The 19,521-nt window shown below is 49.9% G+C and overlaps 1 protein-coding gene and 1 long non-coding RNA gene across 2 annotated transcripts in view, besides 2 other annotated features; one reads left to right on the top strand and one right to left on the bottom strand.

Moving 5' to 3' along the window:
- LINC01389 (long intergenic non-protein coding RNA 1389) overlaps positions 1–19,521 on the top strand; it is a 56,522-nt gene that overhangs the window by 5,419 nt on the left and 31,582 nt on the right. The window lies entirely within an intron of this gene.
- Positions 175–284: a silencer, noted in NCBI's record as "silent region_855". NCBI's record gives its function as "represses an Ori minimal core promoter by ATAC-STARR-seq in GM12878 lymphoblastoid cells {active_cell/tissue: GM12878}" and the evidence as "EXISTENCE:reporter gene assay evidence [ECO:0000049][PMID:35858748]".
- Positions 12,256–12,425: an enhancer, noted in NCBI's record as "experimental_8190 CRE fragment used in MPRA reporter constructs". NCBI's record gives its function as "activates a minimal promoter by MPRAs in K562 erythroleukemia cells, with activity observed for both the introgressed and non-introgressed 1:47885231 variant alleles {active_cell/tissue: K562}" and the evidence as "EXISTENCE:reporter gene assay evidence [ECO:0000049][PMID:34662402]".
- FOXE3 (forkhead box E3) lies at positions 13,847–15,614 on the bottom strand. The gene has a single exon (NM_012186.3). It carries the CDS (start codon positions 15,581–15,583, stop codon positions 14,624–14,626), a length of 960 nt encoding a protein of 319 aa, NP_036318.1. The 5' UTR covers positions 15,584–15,614; the 3' UTR covers positions 13,847–14,623.

Here is a 19,521-nt window from a genome sequence, read left to right as displayed (position 1 = left end):
TGCAGGAGGAAACTGAGAGAGTGGTCATTGCTCCAGGATGAGGCAGGGAGGGCAATGCTGTGCTGGGAGGCCAGACCCTTCTTTCTCCCATCCTCAGCCCAGATCAAGCTACTTGGAAGGACTTCACATTTCAGGGGTTGGCTGCATTTCTTACATCAGCAAGTGGGCAGGGCTAAGGTCTGGGAACAGACTCAACTCTGGAAAATACCACCCTCCCCCATCCACCACCACCACCCAAGGGAAGGAGGAGCTGAGAAACCTCTCCTGCTCATACACTCAGAGGGCACTGCAGAGACCCCAGATCAACAGGAGGCCTTCTGGTGCTTGCAATTCAGTTAGTGAAAAGGTGGAAGTGTGATTTGCATGAGGCTCTAGTGATACCTGCTCAGTAGCCTGAGGCCTTCTCAGAGCTGCATCACTTTCTGTGTATAGAGTCCTTGTCTGCACAGGATACCTGGCAGCCTGGCCCCTACCTGCTTGCCCAGCCCCTACCTCCAACTCCTGTTCTCTACTCACACCTGATTTCCTCTTTCTTCCCTCTTCACCTTTGCAGGTGGCTCACTCTTGCCTGGCTCACTTCTAATCCTTCCTAGTTAATTTCACACATCAAGTTTGTGAGATGCTTTCCCTGACAACACTCCTGCGCTCACCTGACTCCCACCTCTGTGTTCCTGAAGCTCTTAGCTCCATCTGTTTTTGTTACTTGTTTTTCAGTCTGTAGATTTTATTATAGACCAGGAGTCCTCAACCTTTTTGGCACCAGGGTCTGGTTTCATGGAAGACAGTTTTTTCCACAGACCAAGGTGGTGGTGGGCAAATGGTTTTGGGATGAAACTGTTCTACCTCATATCATCAGGCATTAGTTACATTATCATAAGGACCACGCAACAGGCGGGGCATGGTGGCTCACACCTTGTAATCCCAGCACTCTGGGAGGCTGAGGTGGGTGAATCATTTGAGGTCAGGAGTTTGAGACCAACCTGGCCAACATGGTGAAATCCCGCCTCTAGTAAAAATACAAAAATTAGCTGGGCGTTGTAGTGGGTGCCTTTAGTCCCAGCTACCTGGGAGGCTGAGGCAGGAGAATTCCTTGAACCCAGGAGGCAGAGGTTGCAGTGAGCCGAGATTGCACCACTGCACTCCAGCCTGGGCAACAGAGTGAGACTCCAGTCTCAAAAATAAATAAATAAATAAAAAATAAGGAGCACGCAACCTAGATCCCTCACATGCGCAGTTCACAATAGGGTTTGTGCTCCTATGAGAATCTAATGTCGCCACTGATCTGACAGGAGGCGGAGCTCGGGTGGTAATACTTGCTCACCCGCAGCTGACCTCCTGCTGTGTGGCCAGGTTCTTAACAGGTCACCGGTTAGGAACCAGTTAGTGGCCAGGGGGTTAGGGATCCCTGCTTTAGACTGTGAGCTCCTTGAGAACAGGGCTCATTTTGTGTTCATCTTTATCTTTCCTCTTCTGCAAAATGGGGATAATAATTGTACCTACCTCATTGGATTGCTGTAAGGATTAAAAGAGATGATGCACATATAAAGCACTTAGCCTACTACCTGAAACTTTGAAAGATCTCAATAAAGGCCGGGCGTGGTGGCTCACGCCTGTAATCCCAGCACTTTGGGAAGCTGAGGCAGGCAGATCACCTGAGATCAGGAGTTGGAAACCAGCCTGGCTAACATGATGAAACCCCATCTCTATTAAAAATACTAAAATTAGGCCGGGCACGGTGACTCATGCCTGTTATCCCAGTACTTTGGGAGGCTGAGGCGGGCAGATCACGAGTTCAGCAGATCGAGACTATCCTGGCCAACATGGTGAAACCCAGTCTCTACTAAAAATACAAAAATTAGCTGGGCGTGGTGGTGCATGCCTGTAATCCCAGCTACTCGGGTGGCTGAGGCAGGAGAATAGCTTGAACCAGGGAGTCGGAGGTTGGAGTGATCCAAGATCGTGCCACCGCACTCCAGTCTGGCAACAGAGTGAGACTCCGTCTCAAAAACAAAACAAAATACAAAAATTAGCCAGGTGCAGTGGTGGGCACCTGTAATCCCAGCTACTTGGGAGGCTGAGGCAGGAGAATTGCTTGAACCCGGGAGGTGGAGGTTAAAGTGAGCCGAGATCATGCTACTGCACTCCAGCCTGGGCAACAGAGTGAGACTCTGTCTCAAAAAAACAAAACAAAAACAAACCAAAAAAAAACCTCAATAAATGTTTTGCATCATCATTATTAATCACTCTACCTCCTGCCAGGCACAAAGCCTGACACACAGTAGGTGCTCAATTAATGTTAGATATGTGGATATATTAATGAAAGAAAAGAGGAAGGAAGAAAGGAAGGTATGGCATATCTCTCTCTCTGGGACTCCCTATAGAACTCTAGGGAGTTCATCAGTAAATCATCAATGGAATTCTGTATTCACTGGGAACAGAGGTTGTAGCTCAGATCATCAATAGAACTACGTGTTCACTAAGAACAGAGGTTGCTTCTCTCCCATCAGTCCCCATCTTTGAGGGGAGGAGAACATGTCTCCCTCTCAGACAGAGTTTATCCGTGGTTTCTGGCTGTAGCAGTCATTGGATTTGTCTGTTGTTCTCTCTGCCTCAGTTTCCTCCTTTTAAAATGGTTGTGACAAATCAAACCAGCTTCCAGACTGAGCCCTGCCAAAGTCTTCCAGGGGCTCCACATTGCTTGTAAGACAAAATGCAGTTTCCCTGGCATGATGAGCTGAACATGCTTACAGTTTTTGCATGTCTCGGCCCTCTGTTGAAGGAAACCTTCCCTCCTGTGTTCCATGTGGTCCTGACGGGGCTATCCAATTTGTTCCCCTCACAATTACTCCCCAGGAGCAGACAGGCAACCAACTGGGTCATACATACCATTGCAAGTTCAAGGCCCAGTGATTGGTCCAGGCAGTGGTAAGTGACCTAAGTAGCCAGTCACCCCTTCTACATGATTTGACATATGGACTCTGAGATTTGGGACTATGTAGACCATGGGACTGGCACTCTGGGACTCTGGGAGGAGCACCTCTCCTTTTGGATCAGAAGACAAGCACACAGGCTTAGCTGTCAGAAGCCATCTCCCTGCCACATGGAGAGTGCTGTTTGACATCAAAGCCCACACACAGAGGAAAACAGCCTAAAGAGAGAAAGAGACTTAAAAATAGTGTTTGAGTCCCTGGATCCAGCTCTGCCTGAAACTGGAACCCCTAGACTTTCCAGACATTCAAAAAGAAAGAAATCTCCCCTTTTGCTAAGCTAGGTTGAGGTGGATTTCTGCTAGTTGAGTTGAATTTCACAAATAGCCTAGCCACAAAAGAGAAGAATCCTGGGTCTCTGAGACCACTGAACTGCCATACCACCCTGAACTGCCTGCACTGACTGTTATGTAAAAGAGAAATAAACTTTGGTCTTGTTTAGACCACTGATGTGGGATTGGGGGGGCCAGTCTGTCATTCACAACTGAACCTAACCCTGCTTAATGCACGAAAGTTTGAGAAAATGTCCTATAAACACGAAAGAAAGGTCTGAGGTAATTAGCCTGGAGAATAAAGGCTTAACACAGCCAGCATCTCCCAATCTCCACAGGGCTCATCTGGGGCAGAGACACCAAGGCAAAAGAGAGCCAGAAAGGGGTAAAAAGCCTCACTTTCTGTGTCTCCATGCAAGGAGAACATTCTAACAGGGCTGTCTCTGAGATGTAGTAGATTACCTCGGTGGCTCTGAGTTCCTTGTCACTGGAAGTGCTAGAGTGGAGGCTGGGTAATCACTGAGTATGAATCATAGAGGCACCCAGGTGTAGCAAGAAGAGTTCAGGTCTTAGAGCTGGGTTCAAATTACGCTCTTACCACTTATTAGTCTCAGACAAATAATCTCTGTAAGCCTGCATTTCCTCATTTGTAAAGCATCCAGATAGCTGGGTTGGAAACGGACTAGGGAAATTTCTTATCCTGCTACCTCATGGGGACTCCTGAGACCTAGTGCTCTAGCTGGAGCCCGTCATGGATCAGGATGTCTCAGTGAGGTGCCTTGCCCTCCTCTCCAACCTTGACATGTTCAGGGACACCTCCATCCTGCCATGAAAATGCATTACCCACTGGTTTGTTCCTGCAACTGCAGAGGAACAGTGGGGCCTGAGCCAAGAGGCCTGGGCCCTACTCTCTGTCTTCTCCCTGACTTCCTATGTGACCTCAAGCATGCCCCCGCCTCTTCCAAGGCCTCAGTTTCCTCATCCAACATATGAGAAGTGTATCTCCATCACAGACAATCTGGGTCTAGAATCAGGGCTCTTAACTACTGTGCCATACCTATCACAACAATAATCATCATGTTACTGCCTGGCCTTGCCCTGCCCAGCCCCCTCAAGGTCTGCTGGAACAGGCTACTCCTCATCCTCTGCCTAGGTCAGCCCAAAATGGTGACAACTGCTACATGAGCTGACATCACAGGCCTGGGCAACCCAGAGGTTCCCAGTCTGCCAAGGGCCTCATTTCCAGCCTTGAAATTTGACTCCCCATTAGTTACATGAACACCTCTCACAGGGGCTCTGTGTGATCTTTCCTCATCCACACCTTCCTTCAAAGTTGGGGCCACTCATATCTGGGGGACTAGAGGCAATGAAATGGGAAATCTGAAACAGTAGTGGAGCAGATCTTACAGCATTATCCTATGGTCAGAAGAAAGGAGTCACAACTGGGGACCCAGATGGGGAGACAGCACCATTTGGCAGGAAGCCTGGAGGCCTGAATGGTGGAGGTCCAAAAAGCTGGTTCCCTATACCTGCCATGGATGCCCAGGATTTGGGGGCTAAAAAGGAAAAGGAGCCACCACCCTGAATGGATTGACAGCCACGGCACAGCACACCCCAGGGTGGGCATGGCAAGTACCCATGCTTCCCAAATCCAGAGGCCAGGATACCTTGTGAAGGGACTGGTGGCAGACTGATGGAAAGGCCCTGGAGAAGAAGGCAGTCGGGTTTGAGAAGGTGAAAATCTGACTGTGGTCATCAAGGGTCCCTTTGAGAAATAAAAGAGGACTGCTGTTGAAAGGAGCCAGTGTGACCACACAGGGGACGTAGTGCCTTGACAAAGGCTGCATGGAAATCCACTTCCAGGGATTTCTCCTGCTGGTATACCTGCACACATATGGTATGACATATGTACAAAGTCACATTGTGGTGCTGTTCGGAATGTCAAAAGGTTGGAAACAACATAAATGTCTATCAAGGACAGGTTAAGCAAATAATGAAACATCTGAAAAAGGGACCAGTATACTGTAAAAGTAGAATATAGAAGTTCTTTATGTACTCAGCTGGAGAAAGCACCAAGATACGTTGTTTGTTTGTTGTTTGTTTTTGTTTTTGAGACGGAGTCTCGCTCTGTCTCCCAGGATGGAGTGCAGTGATGTGATCTTGGCTCACTACAACCTCCACCTCCCGGGTTCAAGCGATTCTTCTGCCTCAGCCTCCCGAGTAATGGGATTACAGGCAAGTGCCACCACACCTGGCTAATTTTGTATTTTTTGCAGAGACAGGGTTTCACCATGTTGGCCAGTCTGGTTTCGAACTCCTGACCTCAAGTGATCCACCCACCTTGGCCTCCCAAAGTGCTGGGATTGCATGCATGAGCCACTGCACCCAGCCAAGATACATTGTTGAGTGAAAAAAAAATTTCAAGATATATAGAACAGTGTAAACATGCATCCAATTGTGTTTTTCAAGGAGAAAATAATGTATACTTGTATTGGTTTACGTATGAAACAAAAATATCTAGAAGGATGAATAAAAATCTAGTAACTGATTATACACTAGGGCAAATTGGAAACAAATGGGAGACTTCATGGATGACTTTTTTATATTTGTAAAGTGAAGTGAATGTATTACTTATTCAACAATTAAAAACTTTAAAAGAAACAGTTGGATTATTTCAATAACTAAGACTGAGTGTGCAGAACATAAGAATAAAAACCATTACTATGAGCTGAACACTTTTTATGGGCTCCAACTTGAAAATATGGTTGGTGGCTATGAATGTTGAAAGCAAGGGACGTGAAGCCAGACATGTGAGGTGCCTGTGAGTATCATCTGCCTGCCCATCAGACAGGGAAGCAGTTGAGTCTGCTAGCTAGGACCCCAGATTTTCTGCCTTTCCTCCTTCCTGTTCTGTTCCCATCCCTCTGTCTTTGGCTCCCTCCCTCTGTTCGTCCCATCTAAATTACTTTGAAAGTCTGCCAGCTGGACAGGGGTTAGGATGGATAGAGGAAGAAGGGATTTCACAGGAACAGGAGCAGCAGGCCCTCCCCTCCCTCCTTTCAGAACTCCAACCCACCACCTTCAGGAAGCATTCCTTTGTGAAGCTCACAAAACCCCAGCCCCTTCATAACTCAAGGGAGACAGACTGATGCCCAGGGTGGGACCTGTGTCTCCCTCAAGCAGGGTCCAGGCCTCTTGTCTCTAAGTCTCATCAACTCCCTAAACCCCAAGTCCAGCCTCCAGATAAGGGCAGTTCAAACCAAAGCTGCAGTATGCCCAGCTCTGGCCAGGCTGCCCAGTGAGGGACATAGTGGAACAGAGAAGACACAGGCGCTGTCTGGGAAGCCCCAGTCAGGCAGGGTAGAAAATCCTCACCCATCATCACAATGCTTTAGCAGTCACAAAGGCCATCCCTACCCAGACAGAGAGGATCGGGCACATTCTCTATTTCGAGGTAGACTGAGGCTGAGTCAGGATAGAGGCTGGAATTGGTGAGTGACCAAGGAGACCTAGCAACCCCTCATCTCATAAAGCATTCTACATACTATATTGTCATCTGCCAATATTTGAGCTCTCTGAGCGGGGACAGTGTCTGATACATCTCTGAGTCCTCAGCTGGGAAAGAGCACAGGACCTGGCACAATCAAGGGACTTGGGGAGAGGCAGTAATTGCTATGAAGTGCAGAGAAAGTAAAGGACTTGCCTAAGTGTTTGACCTGAGACTAGACCCCAGGTTTTCTGCCTCCAGCCCAGCCCCCTTTCCTCTGTCTCCCTCTTACAGAGTAGATAAATTGTCTGCACCTAGGGCCACCAACCTCACACCCATTCCAATTCCATTTGCAGTGGAGCAACTACCAAAGCCTGTCAAGAGGAAGTGGGGAGGGTGAAAGATCTGGGAGGGTTTTCTAGAGGAGGTGGGAACTGCAGCTAGTTTTCCTCTTCTGCACCAAACAATTGGTTTCCCTGCTGGAGCAAGTGCCTTTCAGCCACCAGGGGCTCCTGCCAGCCCAAAATAGCATCCAAATGGATCCTGACTTCATTCCAGTGATTTCCTGCTCAAATCAGGTGCACACGAGGTGGCCAATAGGTGGCGCTTTTATCTCCAAAAATTGATGGGAGAAAGGAGATTAGAAAGAGGGAAAGGGGAGAGAGGAGTATTCGGGTGTGAAAAGGGTGTGGGGAGTGGAAGACAGACAAAAAAAGAGGAAACCAAAGACCTGTCATCACGGCTGGAAAGGCTCTTTTCAAGATCGGGACAGTGGGTGCGGGTGTAGGGGAGGAGGATATTAGGGTGAACTGAATAATTTTATTGGTGCCTGGGGCTTTTCATCCAAGTTTCCACCTCCACTTGTTTCTTCCTGAGAGAAAGGAGAATGACTTTGAAGCCAGGCAGACCTGGAAGCAAGTCCTGGGTCAGTCACTTTGCAGCTTGACCTGGGTAAGTCACTTAACCTTTCTGAGCCTGATTTTCATCATCTATAAAGGTGATGATGCACAGTTCCTACAATGGGGAGCAAATAATTCTAAGAATGCCATCTTTGCATTCCAGGAATAAACTGCACGATTGCATATTTTTTTTGTAATACATTACTAAGTTTAATTTGCTGATATATTGCTGACAAGTTTTGCATCATCTTTCATATGTGAGATTAGGCTATATTTTGTGTATTCCTTTATCAGGTTTTGATAACATAATTAGATAACATAGTCCGTAGAATTGGGATGACTTCCATTTTTTCTGTGTTCTGGAGCAATTTATGTAACTAGAGAAATAGGTTCCTCAATGGTTTGACAGAATTCACAGGAAAAAAACAGCTAACCTAGGTGCCCTCTGGTGGGAGCAGTGGAGGAACCATCTCTGACAATGTTGTCTGTTCCTTCTGGGCTAATAGGTATATTGAAATTAGTTACTCTTTAAATTAGGCAAGCCAGATCAGCGGTGACTACCAGCAAAATGACCACTCCAAGCTTTCAGGGTTGGCCTGAGGCTATGATTAAATGGGAAAGCGTTTGGCCTTGGTAGATTAGGATGGTAGATTAGGATGATGTTAGCCAATGGCTGATTCTTTCTATATAGCTTTGCATATCTACTTTTTTCCACTTGCACCTCCACCTCTACCAAACCACCACCCTTTCCTGCCTGGATGCTGCAGTAGCCTTGTAACTGGTCTCCCTACCCCACCCCAGGGCCCCTCTAACTCTGTGTCCGTGACATATTTAGGGCTATGAAATTTCCTCTGAGCACAAGTTTGACTACATTCTTTAGATTTTAATATGTACTGTTCTTACCTTTATTAATTTATAAATAGTCTGTAATGACAACTTTCTTCTAACCAAAGAGTTATTTATTTAGATAAATGTTTTAAAATGTTTAATTGCTTAGTTTGAAGTATGGTCCAAGAATATATACTTTTTTTTTTTTTTTGAGACAGAATTTTATTCTTGCTGCCCAGACTGGAGTGCAATGGTGCAATCTTGGCTCACCGCAACCTCCGCCTCCTGGGTTCAAGCGATTCTCCTGCCTCAAGCTCCCGAGTAGCTGGGATTACAGGCATGCACCACTATGCCCGGCTAATTCGTATTTTTAGTTGAGATGGGGTTTCTCCATGTTGGTTAGGCTGGTCTTGAACTCCTGACCTCAGGTGATCCGCCCGCCTCGGCCAAAGTGCTGGGATTACAGGTGTGAGCCACCGCACCTGGCCCAAGAATATATTCTTATTCATGTGGGAATTTATAAAACTTTTTGAATGTTGGTTTTTTTCGCTATAATAAGCACATTCATATAAGCATATTCTGGATCACTTAGATGACTTCCTTGTAAGAGATACCTAATACTTGAAGTCTTTATTTCCATTTATTATCAGGTAATGCTACTTTAATCTTGAGATGAGGCAAAAAAACAATGTAGATTTTATACATATATGCTGTATTTGGGCCCATTGGTATCATGGCCTGCTACATGAAGGAATGCCTGCAGTTCATTCAAAAGGAAAAAATGGTGTTAGCCAGGCATGGTGGTGCAAGCCTGTAGTCTCAGCTACTCGAGAGGCTGAGGCGGGAGGATCGATTGAACCCAGGAGGTCAAGGCTGCAGTGTGGTATGACTGCACCACTGCACTCCACCCTGGGTGACAGAGTGAGACCCTGTGTTAATCAATCAATCAATAAAATTAAAAATGGTGACTTTAGTCATCACATGGCCCGAGGAATGACAAACCCAGAAAACCTGCTATGGAGAAGTCAGAGCCACATTCACGGAGCAAGTGATGTAGTCTCAGCAAAACTATATATATATATATATATAGTTTTTGTTTAGTTTTGTTTTGTTTTGTAGATGGAGTCTCACTCTGTCGCCAGGCTGGAGGGCAGTGGCATGATCTAGGCTCACTGCAACCTTCGCCTCCTGGGTTCAAGCGATTCCTCCGCCTCAGCCTCCCGAGTAGCTAGGACTACAGGCAGGTGCCACCACGCCTGGCTAATTTTTTGTATTTTTAGTAGAGATGGGGTTTCACCATGTTAGCCAGGATGGTCTCGATCTCCTGACCTCATGATGCGCCCACCTCAGCCTCCCAAAGTGCTGGGGATTACAGGCGTCAGCTACCGCGCCCAGCCACAATATATTCTTTTACATTTGACTAATGTTATGCACTTGAATTTTTATTTCATTGTTTGAATTTAATTTATAAACAATTTTAACAATCACATAAGAAATACAAGTCTAAAGAATTTATACCTGCAAATACTGACATTATAATAAAAAAATTAAAGTCAGTACTGGAAGTCCACAGAATTCTTTCCCTTTAAAAGTAAACCACAATAACCTGTATCGTGCAAAATCCCCTCACCCCCATACTTCTAGGATCTCCCAGAGAGGTAATACACTTGGGCTCAAAACCAATCCAGTCACTACAGTGGAGGGCTCTCTTGAAGGAGCCTCTCTGTTACCATGTTTGCCAGTGTCACTGCCAAGGGTGTCACTTTCCTATGTACTCAATTTTCCATGTGCCAGGGTAATGTTGGCTTCCTTCTTAAATGGATCCAGGAGGCCCTCAAACCAGCTCAGCACCATCCTGGGCCCAAAGCTACCCTCCCTGTGTTCCAATTCCCTCTAAGTCAGGAAGTCACCCCTCTCAGGGCTTCTCCTCTCAGGTTTCCTTCTCCTGTAAGGAAATCTCCAGAGTTCTCCTGCCCTGTCCTCCTGCCAAAACTCTTAACCCCTCATTTCCATAATACTCCACCACCTTCCCTGCTTCCCTACAGGTAAAGCATACTAAGCTGAGAAAATATCTCCCATTCTCTGATTCCCTCCAAAAAAAAAGGTCTACAGAGAAGCATAGCATTGACGCAAATATTTCATTGTCAAATGCCTGCTTAGCTTCTCATGCTAAAACAATTTCAGATGTGCAAAGTTTCCAAAAAATTTTACCTCGACTGAAAAAAGGGAATAAACTAAGAAAAAAGGGAAGATAGGGATATCAGGAAGTAGAAGATCCAAAACAGGACACAGAATTACCAAGGTAATGGTGAAGGGAATTTCCAGATCCAGCTCTGTTCAGCCGACCTGGAGCACCATCAGTCCAGATGAGCAGAAGGTTGGAGGGTTCTGGGAGAGATGCCCCAGGAAGGGAAAAGCACAACCACCAAAAGCAATTATAGGTTTCCTGGTAAGTTTGACCTCATCTCATGAAAAGCTGTACCACAGTGTTACTGGAAGGTATGGGAAGATTTAGCTTCCCATAGATTTAGCTTTGTACCTTTGTAGGTGCAAAGGAAGTTGAACAAATGAAAAAATAAGGCAGTATTAAGTCCAGGTAAAATAAAAGGTTGCACACACACACAAAAGGAATTATAATTGTAGTACACTAGTAGCTTATCACAGAACAATATTTACATAGTAACGATGTAAATGCTAAAACTTTATTTAAACGAAAGTTGGTAATTTGAGGGGGAATGGAAGGAGATAAGAGATTTTAGAGGTAAATGTTCATCTATCATAATAGGAAGTTAATCGTTACTGTTTCAAGAGAGATGAGTAGAAGCATGGAAATATGGAAGTATATTTCAAGAGAAAGAAATATGAATTGAAAGCGGATTTTTGTATGGAACAAAGCAGAGATCCTGAGAGTGGTGCAAGATACCACTATAAGCCTATGATTGCTACTTGACTTGTCAAATTATGTGCTGCTTTCGATTTTTTTTTTTTTTTTGAGACAGTCTCGTTGTGTCGCCCAGGCTGGAGTGCAGTGGCATGATCTTGGCTCACTGCAACCTCCGCCTCCCAGGTTCAAGCAATTCTCCCGCTTCAGCCTCCCAAGTAGCTGGGATTACAGGCATGCGCCACCACACCCAGCTACTTTTTGTATTTTTAGTTGAGACAGGGTTTTACCATGTATTTTACCAGGCTGGTCTCAAACTCCTGACTTAAGGTGATCCACCCACCTCGGCCTACCAAAGTGCTGGGATCACAGGCATGAGCCACCATGCCCAGCCTGAATAAAGGAAAATTAAGGAAGCATTTAAAAAATAAAAATCTGATTTTCCAGTTCAAGGGTGACCCTCCTAGTATTTCCCTACAGATATTTTCTACCTGTCCTCGAAGTGTTCCAAGATCCTGGGACCGAGACCTGCAGGGTAGTAGCAAGAATTGAATTCAGAGCTCAGGAAGCAGTTCCTGGCTTCAGGAGAGCGAGAAGAGTCCTTTCCTTCCCTGGGATTTCTTAGACTAGGAAAGAATTTATCAACAGAGGCTCTGAGGCAGGAGGAGGGGCTATAATACCGTTTGGAGCAAAAGCAAGTTCGCATTTTGATCTTTACGGAGCTCGACTTCCTAGAGAACCGAGGGCCGGATCTTTTGCTACCTGCTGGGGCTAGGGAGGGGCAGTTTACTAAACTTAGAAGTTGGGAAATAGCCTCCACCTTCACCTCTTTCACCCTTTCTATAGGTCACTATGAGGATTGCCAGTGGATAAGAAGGTGCCAAAGTCAAAGTACTGTCCACTCAGTCATTATTCTGTAAGTCAGGCACAGTATCAGACAGCAGGGATTCATGCCCTCGAGCAGTCAAAATATGTTAAGTGAAGGACTGCTGTGCATCAGGCAAATCAGATCTGACCCTTGCTCAAAGGGGCTAATAGCTGGTGGAGGGGGTCTATCCAGGTCACTTCCTACCATACTGTGTAAACCTACTGCCCTCCCCTCAAAGAGGGCCTTCCTGGCCTTCTCAGATTTTCATACTTTCTCCTCTATGGGCGGCCCATTGTCCACCCTCATCTTCCATCACCACCCCAGAGCTTCAAACTCTGGTATCCAAGAGAGGCACATCCTGCACGTCCTGCACGCAAATCACACTCACCCTGGGTTCAAGATGGGGGACTACCTCCCCCATCTTCTCCTACCCCTAATTCAGGCTCAACTAGACTGGGAGCCCTGGGGTGGGGGAGCTTGAAAAAGCCTGATGCTTAGCATTTGGGTCAGCACCAGACAGCAGGACAGGGTCAAAGGCCAACTCCCTCCCTCACACCTCAGAGTCTCTGCTCAGTGCTACCCTGTCCTTGGTGCTGGGGACAGTCAGGAATCAGCTCAGATCCCTTCTGCCCTATCTTACAATCCAGCAGGGGAGGTAAGACAGGGGGCATAGCCAATGGTGCAGTGCCTGGAAGTTCAGAGTGGGTGGGGTGTGGTTCTGTGACCTGGCCTCAATCTTTATAGTAGAGAGCGTAATCTTTTAGGCTGAGCCCCTTGCCTGAGGCCAGCGCCTTTCCTCCAGAATACTATGCATACTAGTCACCTGGGAATTTTGCTAAAATGCAGAATCTGATGATTCAGTGAGTCTGAGTGGGGCCAAGATCCTGCATTTCTATTTATTTACTTAAATGAGGTCTCACTACGTTAGGCCAGGCTGATCCCAAACTCCTGGCCTCAACCGATCCTCCTGCCTTGGCCTCCCAAAATGCTGGGACTACAGGCATGAGCCAGCACGTCCTGCCAGATTCTGCATTTCTAACAAGCTCCCAGGTGATGTTGTAGGTCTGTGGACCACACTTTGAGTGCAAGGCTGTAGAGCACTTATCTTATTTCTCTGAGCGTTGATGGTTGGATTAATGACTCTTCCCACTGGCCCACAACCTCCATGAGGCAGGGATTTTGCCCATTCATTCAGTAATATTTCCCCAGTGTCTAGCACAGGCTCAGCACATTAACTAACTGGAGGAGTGAATCAACGGCCAGTGCTCCTTTATCCATGGGAGCTGGGAATAATCCCAGAGAGCAGACAACCTGCTGCTCAGATACATTCACACAAGTGTGTACACACACATGCCCAGCCCATCTCGTCTCTACCAGGCTGAGATGCAGGAGATGGCATTTGACTAGGCCTACTATGTGCACAGCTATGGCTGAATCACTTCCTTTTTAAAACAAAATTGTGTTAGCCACTAATCCTGCTGGAGAATCACTTCCTAATCCCATTTCATGAACTTCTGATTGATGTCTCACAAGGAGGTTCACCCCATGTGGCAACCCAAGATCTAGAATAAAGCTCACCCGTCTCCCCAGACCACTCCCCCAAGTCACCAGCCAGCACACCAAGTCCAGAAAAAAGTTTCTTTCTTTTTAATTAAACCAGCTTTAATTAAAAATAATAATAACCCAATAAGTCCTAAGTTTTCCAGGGGATGGGGCAGACCTAAAGGCCCACCAACTCCCCTTTCAGTCAGGAGCCCTGGTGCTGCCTGTCTGAAATCTCCAAGAAGTGTCCTCAGGGCGTGAAGAAGGCAGCCAGGTGTGTCTACGTGAAAGGGGGGCTCTCTCCCAGGAAGAAGCTGAGGGCAGACAGGTAAGTGGAGGTGGGGGGCAAACTTGTGGGAAAATGAAGGGACGCTAGCAAGTAAGTCATGAACCCAGGAGTCTGACCCAGGAGTGTCGGAAAAACATGAGAGAAGGTTGATGAAGTACAGTCGGTGGAGGAGGCGGCTTGGGATCACAGATCTGGCTTCCAAAGGCTTGGAACTCACCAGGAAACCTGGGGTATGGACTCACTGGAGGCGAGTCAGCTCCGGGGCAAGGGACCCACAGACAGCGCTGGGGTGGGGGGCGCCGCAAAGCTGGGGGCGCTCACAAGTGGAGGGAGAAGAAATGAGAGGCTGGCAGGTCAAAGGGGACGCTTCTGTCCAGTGGCGAGATGGTGGGAGCCTCCCCAGGGATGGGGGACGGAGAAGGATGTAGCAGGAGTTTGAGTCCAGGAGGCCACGACGAGAGGCGCAGGGTGTGCTCCAAGCCAGGGTGGGGGGTAGAGATGGGGCGCTCGAGGGCGGCGCCGCAGGTCCGGGGCACAGGTCGCACAGGTGCCTGCCCGCGCGGCGCAGGCTCACAGGTAGCGCTCCAGCCCCGACGCGAAGCCCGGCTGCCTCAGGTAGGCCTCCCCAGGGCTGAGCGGGCCGAGAGCGGCTGCCGGCCCGGCCAAGGCCAGGAGGGGCTCAGCGGGCAGCGGGCCGGGGCCGGGGCGCGTCGCGGGCAGTACCAGGCGGTCGGGGACCTGCGAGTAGAGTGGCGGGGAGGCGGCGGCAGCGCAGGGCGGGAAGGCTGCGGCTGCGGCGTCGGGCGCGGCGCAGCAGGGCGGCTCGGGGGCGCCCAGCCCCGCTAGCTCCGGCTGCAGGTTCACCAGGCTGTCGACGCTGAACAGACGCGCGGGCGGCGAGGGGCCCGGTCCGGCAGAAGGCGGCGGCACCAGCAGCGCGGGGCCGGGCGCGGGCGCGTAGGGCGCGTAGGGGAAGGGGAGCGGCGGCCCTGGCGCCGCGGCCGCGTGCGCGGGCAGCTCGGCGCGCTTGAAGCGCTTGCGGCGCCGCAGGAAGCTGCCGTTGTCGAACATGTCTGCGGCCGCGGGGTCCAGCGTCCAGTAGTTGCCCTTGCCCGGGTTGCCCGGCTCGCGGGGCACCTTGACGAAGCAGTCGTTGAGCGTGAGATTGTGGCGGATGCTGTTCTGCCACTTGCGCGGGCTGTCGCGGTAGAAGGCAAAGCGTTCGGTGATGAAGCGGTAGATGGCGGCCAGCGTGAGGCGGCGGCCCGGGGCGTGCGCCAGAGCCATGGCGATGAGCGCGATGTACGAGTAGGGCGGCTTCCCGCGCTGCAGGGGCCGCCGCCGCCGCCGCCCCGGGCCGGGCGCGGGCGTGGGGGCCGCCTCTCCGCGGCCAGCCGCCGCCTCCTCTGGCTCCCGCCCTGGCTCGGCTCCTGCGAGCGGCGACGGCGGCGGCCCCGACGGCGCGACCGCTGGCAGGGCAGGGAAGCCAGAGAACGCGGCGGGCGGATCCATGTCGCTGCGCCCCGCCATCGGCTGCGGCAGCCCCTGCCCGCGCGGCTCCGGGACCGCAGGGGCCGCCGACCCGCTTTATATGGACACGGCCCCCCCCCAACCACCGCCGGGGGAGAGGGCTCAGGCCTTGCCTGCTGGCCAGCGCCTCCCCTCTAATTTCCTCTCCCAGCCCCCTTACTCTGTTCACGGTACCCTCCTCCATTTCGCCCCTCCCTTTCTGCCTTTGGATCAGTTTTTCCCAGACCCAGACTCACCCCTTCCCCATCTCGGTTATATCAGCCCCTGGCCCCATCCCACTGTATTTGGTCAGTCCCCTTCCCTTTCCACCCCTCCTTCTACCCCCTCTCCTTTGGATCATTCCCAATCACAAATCCACCCATTCACTCTCCCAGCCCCCTCCCCATTTTGCTCCTCCCCATTTTGCTCCTCCCAGTAGTCGGTCCCCCCATCCTTCTCCTGGCCTTCCATCCCCAGCTGGAACAGAGATGAAGGCCGCCTTGCCAGCCCTCAGTATCCTGATGGGGAGGTGTCAGGCCCACTCACAGACATTAGGGAACCTGGGCCAAGGTAATGAAGCAGCGGGGCAGGGCAGAGCCAGGCCGGTTTTGTCTCTGGGAGAATGTTTGACTGCTCCAGATCAGGGTCACCATCTTGCCTCTCTGCCACCCCCCTCCCCCATACCCCTGTCATGCCCTCCCTCCAGGCCTTGAGAGCATTCTCTGAAAAAACAGAATTGTGGAAAGTGGTGCGGCCGCTTTAAATGAAGAGCCCCCAGGAAATCCACAACTTGGAGCTGCCTTTCTGGCTGCCTCCTCTCCACACCCCCCTGTTAAAGAAAACAGCTTTTCTTCACATACACACACACACACATACACCCACACACACAGTACAAAATGTAGGCTTCCACAGACTGGGGGTCTGAAAAAGCCGCCTTCTGACCCAGAAACACCACACTCACATCTCACTGGGGATGGGGGGTCTTTGGCAGTGTTTGTTAAAAACTCAGTCTGAGAAGTTCCACCCACAACTGGCATCCAGGGGGATGCAGCACCCAGCCTATTTTGGGAAACTTCTTCTCCCAAGAGACAGGAGACCCATCCCCAGCTCCAAGGGAACTACAGGGTGAAGGAGCCTTGTCTTAAAGTGGGTTGTCCTGGGGACAGGCAGATCAAGGGACTTGGACATGGAGCAGGGCTGGAAGGACAGTGAGCCCACTGAGGTGCCTGAGGTGCTGAGTTTAAGGGGAGCTCAGTCTCAGGGCCTTGCAAGTGCAGTCAGCACTTGAGAGCCAGGGCCTCCTTACATTTGGGGCATCTCACTTGCCCCATCCTAGTCCCCCAGCCATGCTATAGAGTGTCCCTAGGTATAGGTGACCAAAGCTAGTTACAGCAGGCCTGTAAACTCCAAACTCAAAATCCAGTTCAAAATCCAAACTCAAAGCATGGAGCTCAAGGGCCCCTCTCTCAGCTCCAGTCTCAGCTGATGACATCACAGCCACCATTACTGAGCATTTTGTATTTGGTAAACACTTTATGTACATTATTGCACTTAAGTTTGGGCACCCCGTGAAGTGAGTACTGTTATTATTCCTGTTTTGCAAATGAGGAAACTAAGGTTCTGAGAGGTTAAGTGGTTTCCCTGACTTCACACAGCTAGTAGTAAGTGGTAGAGCTGGAATTAAATGTGAAGTTCAAAGCTCTAGCACCCCACTCTTCTAAGAATGCCATCCTTTAAGGCTGAGCTGAGACATTAGAAATAATCAGAGTATTTCCAGCTCCCACAACTTCAGCTGCCAAAGTAGATTCTTAGCTTCTCTCCTCACCTCCTGGTCAGCATATCTAGGTGCCCATTGGGCATAACCACATGGATATTTCAAGGTATCTCAAACCCAAATGTCCTAAATGAAATGCATCTCTTCCTCTACCCGGTACATCCTCCAGCCTTGGCCGGCTCTCCTTGCAGCATTCCATATCTCAGCAAATGGACCTCTCCCCTTTCCTTCCCACCACCACCAGATGAAAGTGTGGTTATCATCATCTTGGGCTCCTTCCTCCCCACTCACTCTCCACATTCAGGCAAGTGCCAAGTCCCGTCAATTCCACATGGGTCCCAGATCCATCCCTCCTTCAGTTCTCCTGGCCTCAGTTCAGGCTTCATTGCTCACCGAGTACTTCTGGGCCAGTCCCTTAGCAAGTGCTCCAGGCAAGACAGAAATGAAGACTCGAAATCTGGTGGAGAGACAGACAACTGCCAGTTATGATAGAGGTGGCCAGAGGGGCTACAGAAGCAGAGAGGAAGGAGATGACACTTGGAGATCTACAGACAATCCCTAACCCACAACAATGAAGAGTCAGCTCAGTTTATATTCTAGCAGGTCCTGCCTCAGAACCCTCTTCAACCTCCCCACCCTGCATTCTTTTTTTTTTTTTCTTGAGACATAGTCTTGCTGTGTCACCCAGGTTGGAGTGCAGTGGGGCTATCTTGGCTCACTGCAACCTCCAACTCCCAGGTTCAAGTGATTCTTCTGCCTCAGCCTCCAAGTAGCTAGGACTACAGGTGCCCGCCACCACGCCCAGCTAATTTTTGTATTTTTAGTAGAGACGGAGTTGCATCATGTTGGCCAGGCTGCTCTTGAACTCGTGACCTCGGGTGATCCACCTGCCTCGGCCTCCCAAAGTGCTGGGATTACAGGCAAGAGCCACTGCACCCGGCCCCACCCTGCATTCTACCGCCTGAAGGTAGACCATATGGAACACAAGACAGTGCAGTCACAATGCCCAGCTCACCAAAGAAGAAGGCAAGACAAGCCACTGCAGCATGAGGAAATCTAGCTTCAAGAGCAGAGTGACCTGGGGCCAGTTCTCATTTGAGCCTCAGTGAGCCTCAGTTTCCTCAAACGGAATAATGGAAGCCCCCTCTCAGCATTTTGAGAGCCAAATGAGATCAGGTATGAAAGTGCCAGGCCCACAATGGCACTTAGCAAGAGGTGCTTTCTTTTCCTACTACACAATTGGCATAATCAGTATTAAACCAGGGGAAGGAGAGAGGCAGAGCCAGAGAAGTTATTTCAGCACCTGCATATTTTCAAGCAGGTGCAACATAATCCTGCAGCTAGACTCAAGTGCAGACCAGAGCTGACAAGGTCTCATACACTGCCTTTCCCACCTTCCCTTAGTGATGGAGCCCCTCCAAAGCACCCACCACAGCTTCCATCTCACACCTCCAGGCAGTGAGGGGGTTGAGGGAAAAGTGGCTTTTATTACCACCCGTAGCTACGTGCAGTTTCCTTGTACTTTCAGTTTTCTGGTCAATGTGTACAGCCTAGGACATAGTACATGTTCAATAAATGAAACTGAATGTGTGGTTGGCTATGCTAATCCTGGGAAGGGTGGGGGTGGGGAACTAGGCCAAAGGGGTGAGGACCCAGACTTTTCCAGTTCTTTATGCCTGTCTGGCCCCCTCCATTGGGCCTGCTTCCCGGAGCTGGAGCCGAGCAGGCCAGTGTCAGGGGGCGGCCCAAGGGCTAATCCGTGTTTTCAGCGTGGCTGGGCCCTCTTTTCACAGGCCCTGGGCCGGACGTGATGCGGCTGAGCATCCGGGCATAAGATGGCCAGTGAAGGCGGCCCCTTTCTCATGGGCCTGGATTCCAGGCGGCCCAGCGTCTGAGTGGAGCCCCTGGGGCGGGAGGAACACAGTGGCTGGGCTGGGCAGTCCTTTGTCTGACCACACTGGGTGGATATTCGGGCTGGCAGGAGGGATTAATGGCCAGGGATTGGCCCTGGGGCCGGCCTTCCCACTGCCCTTTGGAGGCCAAAGGCCCAGGTCAGGGCACACAGCGTTGATGACTCTCTAGATAGGAGTGGAAATTCCCACCCTTGTCCAAAGCTGTTAGCACTAGCCCGCAAGACTCCCTGCCCCCAGCCCCAGCTCTGCAAAGGCACCACTAGCCAAGACAG

This window comes from Homo sapiens, chromosome 1, assembly GCF_000001405.40.
Source record: "Homo sapiens chromosome 1, GRCh38.p14 Primary Assembly".
In the NCBI taxonomy this organism is placed as follows: Eukaryota; Metazoa; Chordata; class Mammalia; order Primates; family Hominidae; genus Homo; species Homo sapiens.
Note: the sequence above shows the minus strand (reverse complement) of the source record. Positions and strands in the feature narration are given on the sequence as shown.